Source organism: Homo sapiens, chromosome 8 (assembly GCF_000001405.40).
Source record: "Homo sapiens chromosome 8, GRCh38.p14 Primary Assembly".
NCBI classification, from domain to species: domain Eukaryota; kingdom Metazoa; phylum Chordata; class Mammalia; order Primates; family Hominidae; genus Homo; species Homo sapiens.
The window spans coordinates 115,155,089-115,164,052 of NC_000008.11; the positions used below are offsets into that span (position 1 = coordinate 115,155,089).

General features: G+C 36.6%; 1 annotated feature.

Annotated features, from left to right (window-relative positions):
- Positions 3,170–4,077: an enhancer, noted in NCBI's record as "H3K27ac hESC enhancer chr8:116170487-116171394 (GRCh37/hg19 assembly coordinates)". NCBI's record gives its function as "activates a minimal SCP1, AML or CMV promoter by ChIP-STARR-seq in naive H9 embryonic stem cells {active_cell/tissue: H9 hESC(naive)}" and the evidence as "EXISTENCE:reporter gene assay evidence [ECO:0000049][PMID:30033119]".

The following is an 8,964-nucleotide window of genomic DNA, read 5'->3' on the forward strand; positions in this document are numbered from 1 at the left end:
TGGCAAGTGATGACACTCCATCAATATCCTTCAGGAAAAGACATATAGATGCTAATGAATGCGCAGTGGAGTAAAGGGTTTCAACATGTACAGACTCCAGTAATTAATTGAGGAAAAGCATGCCATTTGAAGTAAATGAAAAATTAGACGTAATTTCTTTCAGGAATAGCTAATAGCACAAAATCACTTTTTTATTTTCTTGCTTAGTTCCCAGAGAAATTTACCATATTTTTAGGAAAACTGTCTAGACAGGCTCAGGTCACTCTGGAATTGGATTGTTTGAGAAAGACCCAAAGGATGAGTGACTGCTGAGGGCATTGACATATTTAGATATAAGAAGATCAGTTCTGACAGCTTGACACTAAATGTTTCATGGGGCGGAGGGGGGATGAAGTTGTGTTTGTTTGTTATTATAAATATTTTTAAATTATTTTTATTTGTCATTTTTTTAGATAGGGTCTCACTATGTTGCTCAGGCTGGTCTTGAACTCCTGGCCTCAAGAGATCCTCCCCCAGTCAGCCTCCCAAGTAGCTGGAATTACAGGCATAAGCCACCACACTCAGCTCCCAAAACATAATTTTAAAGATATTTAAATGTGAATATATCATAATTGCTACTGCTCTTTTTCTCTCACACATGTAAAGTAAATCTAAGTGGAAAGTTTCCTATCTTCTATCATCAATCATTTTCTTTCACTCCCTGGAAATCATTCCATTTGATTATTCAGAAGCAGATATATTTGCACCTAGTAACTATATACAAAGTTCTTACTTTTTAAGTTCCAACACATTCCCCAAGCTTCCACCTTTACTGCCTTTCTTCTTTTAGGAATGAAAAAATAGAAGTCTTAATGCCTTTCTACTTAAACTGTCATATCCACCCAAATCATATTGTAAAAATCTCACTTCATGGGGATGTAGCTGTCAAATGAGACAGTGTCTACAAAATGTTCATTTGCTGAAAACTTCTAAAGAAATTTTCACTGAATCCAATTCACTTCATTAAGCTTTAAACTTATCAAAAGTCTTTCACTTAGTTTTTAACCTTTGTGAGGCGCATGACGAATTTACTCTTCTTAACTCTCTGAAAAGTTAGCTTCAATATTCATACAGAAACTGATAGATCTATGTAGTTGGAAGTGCTTAATTTTCTTAAAACCCAGCTCTTCATTATAGACAGTATTCCTCTTAATGAACCCTGGAATAACCTAATAATCACAAAGTTACCAAGAACAACCCTTATTTAGAATATTTTTCATTATTTTTAAGATATCTCCAGTCCCGAATCCTAGACATTCATATAGCCCTCTGAACACAACTCTCTGAGTCTTTTGCCATATGCTTCAAAATGTTGATGACTGAAATATTTCATTCAATGATGATGCTTAGAAGGAAATTAAGTCTCAGAACTGATTGGCAGGCATGGATAGTCATCAAAATGTGAAAATGCCAGTGGTCATTATAATGAAATGGAGATCAGGCAGGAGAAGAAACAAAAGTTTTAGATCACAATAAATATAATTCTAAAAGACCTCTAGAAGCACCAAATGCAAAAGTAATAGCATTTCAGTACAGTAGGAACAATTATTTTCAAATTGCCCATCTTAGAGGAGAAAACAAGACTTGAATTAAACAGAAGTAGCATATTTAATTGTACAAAACTGTGAAGATGTGCTATAGTTTGTTTACAAGAAAGCCATTGTTTACTACAGTGTTACAAAAATATATATTTTTCTTATAACTGCATAGTTGCTCATCTGTGATCTTGAGAAAAGCACTGACTCACTGCTATTTTTTATTTTTTTATTTTTTAAAACTAGAGAGGAAGTCTCCCTTGTTGCTCAAACTGTTCTCAACTACTGGGGTCAAGCAAACTTATTGCCTCAGCCTCCCCAAATGCTGAGATTACAGGCATGAGCGACGATCCTCTACCAAGATTTCCAATAATTTAATAAGTGGCTCTCAGGAGCCAGTACAGCCAGCTCTAGCACACCACTGTTTCCCAAATGCATTCCTCCCTAAAAGGTATTTTTCAACATCTGTTTCAACTAAGCAAGGTAAAGTAGGTTGTCAGCCTATTAGAAAGACTTCATTGTTGGAAACTCTTAATTTGAAAAAAACACAAAATATAAAACATAGAAATAGGTAGTATTCACATCGATTTCTACATTCAAACAGATAGGCTTTACAAATGTTTCCAGTTAACTGATTGGTCTCATGCAGTATTCCATTGACAACTTGTAAAAGAAAGCAGGTAGTCTCACTAAGCTTGGGATTGAGGAAATGTCAATAGCGAACACGTGAATAAAAGAGAATTAGAAGAGGATGGGTTTTTTGAGTCTCAGGAATAAGTATGGATACTGAAAGATGACTTTGAGCCTAAAACCGTGCCTACAATGAACAATCAAACGACTAATAAAACGAGTTTACATTTTTTAGGAGTCAGCAGCCTTTAATGTGAACCCTAAAGGAATGTCCTGTCAAAACAGATGAAAAGAATTAAATGTTTAAGAACTGGACAGGAGACATTGAATGAAATAATGCAGCCTTAGATTTTTAGAACTTCAACCTAAAGATCATAGTTGAAATAGATCAGGTTTGGTGGACTTAATCAGGAGATTGCAAAGTCTTTACATTTGAAAAACTCTCTCTTTAGGAATGTAAGGAATGTTCCCATGGTGGCCCACAACAAAAGATTGAATTCTGCCTTTTGAAGAAAAAAAAAAAGTTACTGTTTTGATCACAGAAGAAACAGATCCCCAGGATAGAGGGACCACCCCACATAGAGGAACCCCTACAACAAAGGCAGCTTGGGAAGGAAATCTGCCTATAATTTGTGTTAATTAGACAAACTCAATGAAATAAGAGAAATCTGAAGTTGTATAATGGTATTTAAATTCATTTCAATATTGAAGTAAGATATTAAGTAATGTGGTTTTTATAGCTTTTAAGATTAACTACTTAGGTTTGTATATTTCCATACAGTTTACAAAGTATACTAACATTCATTTTATCAAGTAATTCCCAGAATGACAGTATAAGGGATTATCCACACATTAAAGATAGGAATGCAGCCTCAGACATTAAAATAATTTACTCAATTTTTGATTTTTAGAAGGCAAAAGATTGAAGAATCAAATATAGATTTTCTTGTACAAGTCTAGAGCAAGGTTTGGAAAACTTTTCAGTACAGGATCAGTTTGTAACCATTTTTAGCATTGCAGGCCATAGGTTTCTGTGACAACTCAATCCTGCCATTGTAGTGCAGAAGCAGTCAGGGGCATGGCCATGGTCCAGTAACACTTTATTCTCCAAAACAGAGGGCAGGTTAAATGTGACCTCCACTGTGTCCGGAATGGGTTCCTTCCGGGGGGTTCTTGGTCTCACTGACTTCAAGAATGAAACCACAGACCCCTGCAGTGTTACAGTTCTTAAAGATAGTGTGCCCGGAGTTTTAATTCAGATGTTCAGATGTGTCCGGAGTTTCTTCCTTCTGGTGGGTTCGTGGTCTCGCTGACTTCAGGAGTGAAGCTGCAGACCTTCGCAGTGAGCGTTAACAGTTCTTAAACATGGCACGTCCGGAGTTGTTCATTCCTCCTGGTGGGTTCGTGGTCTTGCTGACTTCAGGAGTGAAGGCACAGACCTTCACAGTGAGTGTTACAGCTCTTAAAGGTGGCACGTCCAGAGTTGTTCATTCTTCTCAGTGGGTTTGTGGTCTCTCTGGCCTCAGGAGTGAAGCTGCAGACCTTCACAGTGAGTGTTACAGCTCATAAAGGTAGTGCAGACCCAAAGAGCGAGCAGCAGCAAGATTTACCGCCAACAAAAGAACAAAGTTTCCGCAGCATTGCGGCTGCAGGCTCAGGTGGCCTGCCTTTATTCCCTTATTTGGCCCCACCCACATCCTGCTGATTGGTCCATTTTACAGAGAGCTGACTGGCCCATTTTACAGAGTGCTGATTGGTCCATTTTTACAGAGTACTGATTGGTGCATTTACAAACCTTTAGCTAGACAGAAAATTTCTCCCAGTCCTCTACCTGATTAACTAGACACAGAGTGCTGATTGGTGCGTGTACAAACCTTTGGCTAGACACAGAGCTCTGATTGGTGCATTTACAATCCTTTAGCTAGACAGAAAAGTTCTCCAAGTCTGCTACCCAATTAGCTAGACACAGAGCACTAACTGGTGCATTTACAATCCTTTAGCTAGACACAGAGTGCTGATTGGTGCATTTACAATCCTTTAGCTAGACAGAAAAGTTCTCCAAGTCCCCATGGACCCAGAAGCCCAGCTGGCTTCACCTGTCACCATGATGGACCATAATTTGCTGACACCTGGTCTGGAGGAAAGGACTTGGACTTTTAGGTTAGACTTGCAAGAATTCAAATCTACTACTTAGTATCATGGTAATCATGGGCAATTTACATAACCTTACTAAGCCACCTCTTCCTCAGCAATAAAATAAGGGTAATTACACCTGCTTTACCACAATACTGTGAGGATTAAATCAGGTAACATGTGTAAAGCATTTAACACCATGCCTAGCCTGTTATGTCTTCAGTACTTGTTGATAACCTCTTCACTTTCCATCCCCACAACATTGTATTTTTCTTAAAAAGCATCTGATAAATATCTACTATGCAATACATGTCCATTGAAATATTTTTTTTTTTTGAGATAGGGTCTTGGTCTGTCACCCAGGCTGGAGTACAGTGGTATGATTATAGATCACAGCAGCCTCAAACTCCTGGGCTCAAGCAATCCTCCTGCCTTTGCCTCCTGACTAGCTAAGATTATAGGTTAACTCAAATTAGATATTAACTGAGCTTCCCACTTCCTCACATTTTATTCTTTTCTTCCTCACTTCCTTTTCATTTTTCAAAAGAAATGTCCATATTGTATTAGTTTCAAAAGGCTGCTATATCAAATTACCACAGATGAGGTGGCTAAAACTGAAAACAGTTTATTCTCTCAGAGCTGCAGAAGCTAGGAACCTAAAATCAAGGTGTCTGCAGGATCATGCTCCCACTGAGACTTTAGGTAGAATCCTTCTTTGCCTTTCCCTAGCTTTGGGTGGTGGCTGTGCATCCTTGACATTTTCTGTCTTTCAGCTGCATCAGTTCACTACAGTCTCTGCATCTAACTTCACATAGCATCCTCCCTGTGTGTGTCTGTCTTCACATGACAATTCCATATGACAGTCACATCAGATTAGAGCCCATCCTAGCCACCTCATCTTAATTTGAATACATCTGCAAAGACCCTATTTCCAAACAAAGTTACATTCAAAAGTACTGGGGGTTAGAATTTTAACATATTTTGTAGAAGGGCACAAGTTAAGCCACAACCCAAACCACTGCCATTATCTTCTTTGTAAAGAATCTCTTGGTAGGAACACAGGAAATCAAGAGGAATAGATATAATTCAGATTGATCATTACAGCAAAACCTAACAGCTTTATGTGTTTTTCCAATTAACTAATTTCTCATACACAATATTCAAAATTATCAACAAATATTTATGTTTTGGTACTTAACACTAAACTGAAATTTGTCTGCATGCCAAATAGAACAGCATCTACTACTGTCAGAGGCACTATAGAAATTCCTAGATATCACTTTAAGGCAATGCCCAAATTAGATATTTATCTATGTTTAATCATTCATAAAATGAATTGTTTCGTAGTTGTATCAGTTAGGATATGTTTTATTGCAGGAGACATATAGCCAACTCAAACTGTGTTAATGATTAGCAAAATGTATAGGTTCCCTTAAAAATGTTGAGGGATTATGGAATGTTAAGGCTGGTTAGATTCTATACCTTTAAATAATAATATTTTATCTCTGGTCTGTTTTTCGTGTGTCCGCTTCATCCTTACCACTGTCTTCTACTTTATGTCTAATACCAACAAGTTCTTGGGGCTCCTTTCTCTATGTTCACACTGAAGCCTAGAGAGCAAGTAGTTTCTCAAAAATACTCTCAGAGTTGATGGGATTCATTAGGTTGAGAAATATGAAGCCATTCTCTTTTTTACTGAAGTGGCTGAAATTAGGTCTTAGGATTGTCCTTGAACTAGTAATGGCCAGAGGATGACATGTTATTTGCTCCAATCTCTGAAGCTAATATAATAGTCTCAAAGCACATGGACACCTCCAGGTAGGATAAACAAGCTGGAAGAAAACTGAAGCACTGGGAACGGATATTGCAAAATGTTGCTGTATCCTTCAGCATTCAACCAGTGGGAGGTTGGGGGTGGTGGAGAGTGCGCAAGGGAGGTTTATTATCAGGCATTGGCTGATGTAATTGTAGAGACTAGAGACTATGTTAGCAAGTTCAATGTCTGTAGGGAAAGTCAGGAAGAGAAGATCACAAGCAGGTTAGAACCTTGTGAAAACAGGCCATCTTTAATCTCTAAACTCAGAGAAGGCCTAAGTCCTTTCTAAAAAGGCTCATCTGATTAGGCCAGATCCACCCAGAATAATCTTTTTTTTTGTTTGTTTAGCTTAAAGTCAACTGAGTAGGGGTCATAATCAGATAATGCAAAATCACTTCACGGCATTATCTACATCAGTGTTTGTTTGAATGCCTTGGGACTATAGTTCAACCTGCTGGAGTTCACACATCAAGAAACCATCACAGTTGCTGACATAGTCAGTTTTCTACTTCAATAAATATTATTTTAACTGGACAAATTGCTATCTAGGTAAAAGACTACATTCCTCAACCTCCCTTGCATCTACGTGTGGCTCAGTAACTAGCTTCGAGACAATATGACGTCAGTGGAAGTACTATGTGGGATTTCTGGAACGCTATCTTTAGAGAGAGTAAACTTTTCTGATGTTTTTGCCTTTCTTGCTGACTGGAATTTTGATGTGATGTCCAGAGTTCAAGCAACCTATTGGGCAATTAGGTTACAGGCTAAAGTTAGTATAATAACATGAGAGGAGTCAGAGCTCCTGACACCAATGAACCGCCAGATGAGCCATGGACTGTTCCACTCCAGACATCAATGCGTGATAAAAATATACCGCTACGTTGTATAAGCCCTTTTATTTGGACATTTATGGTAGAATCAGCCAAAACAAACCCCAACTAATACTGGAAACCACAACACCCACTAAACAGTGATGAAATTGAAACAACTTTTAAAGAATGTTGCCAAAACAATATTCTCTCTCTAATGGAGGGGGAAATTAATAAATACTTTTCGATTTTAAGCCAAAAAAAATAAGGCATTTTTGGATTTCACAGGTTCAAATAGGGTCTAAAAATACAAGGGAAACAAAGCCATGCTGTTTATAAAGCTTAAATGTTAGGCTACATCTCATCGGAAAGCAGGAAGGGCACTAATATGATTCCTTTAATTTAAAGGGTAGTTAACCCAATTAATGTAGAAAAGTTCAAATGATCCTGCACAGCCAATACTTCTGCTGTACTAGAGTCAGTAATATTATTAAGACAAAACCCAGGCCCTTTAACAAATTTAAGTAGCTTTATTGTATATTTCAAGCAAGAAAGTATAACTTTTAATTTAGCATAATTGGACAAATATAGGGGTCAACTCCCTTCTTGATAATGTCTGCAATCTGTTCTTTAAATTTTAAGTCTGTATTTTTCACTACATATGCAGAAAAGGAAAGCATTGAAACGGATTTATATCACAGACAAATGAAGAAATATATGGAAAAAAAGAAAGAAAGTCTTTTCAGTAGCCTGCTACATCTAAAGTATCACCAGATTTCACAGTTGTCCTTTAATTCCAATAGAAAAGTAAGATATTTTAATATTCCTGTTTTGTTCTGTTATGGAAATTATGTATGTTTGGTTTTACTAAAATTTGATCATGGGTATATGACTTTTTTTTTTAAGTTTTACATTTTTTGTGACTTATATGAAATAAAAGGTGTTTAATATCAATCTTTGAGCATTTTTTTGTGATTTATTCCAACTCTTAGATCATGATTTAACTTGGTCAACATCCTTCACCATAACAAAAGAAAACAAAATGACCAGTGTCAAACGGATGAATTTTGGAGAAGATTTATAGTGGTTTTATATGAAAATAAAATATAGCTTCAGACCAGAAAGAATCATGGGAAATCACTAGCCATTCAGAAAGTCTTCTGAAGGCGGTATGTTCCAATATATTACAGCTTTACGGGAGGTTATGCCAGGACAAAGTTCACGCCATACTGTCCCATCAGAGTTCTAATATTGACAAGTTATAAATGTCAATCTTTGAAAATGTCCTGCTGATGTACACAGATGCTCATTCTCTCTACTTTGTTGTTTACAGATTTTTAAAAAATTTCTCCACAAAGTGTTTTATTTGAACGTAAAAGACCATTACGCAAAGATCACAATGCAAATGCTTTCTGAAGCATGCTGTCATAGAAAAAATGTGTGCACATCTTGTGAAAGGGCTTTTCTTGACTTCTTTTAAGAGCAGAAATAATAAACCCATCTTTTTTAAACCACAAATCACCACTGGCCAAGTCTAGAAAACATAATTATTCAAACTCAAGATGAATCAATCCACAAATTCTTATATAAAATGCACATATTTTATACAAAATGTTTAATAAATAGGTTGTTCTATATTCCAGGTGGCTCTTCAATTTTTGACTTATAACAAGGACATGATTTTTTAAACGGCTTTTGAGGAAAGCTGAAATTTTCACATCAAGGGTTGACCTCCTTTATAGCATCTATGATGTTGCTTGACTTAAAGTGCCAAGAAATTTTTTCTATTGTTAGAGCAGGATAATTATTCCTTTGTATGGAAAAGTAAAGATATGATTGATCTGTTGAAATTTAGTTAAACTGGACAATGACTCTATTTTTGAAAGATACAGAGAATTTTCTATCGTTGTGAGTCTGAAAGTGGTTAACTACAAAAATAAACAAAAAGCAAACACGAAAACTAATAAAACCAAAATATCACTTATAAATCTCCTTATCAGCT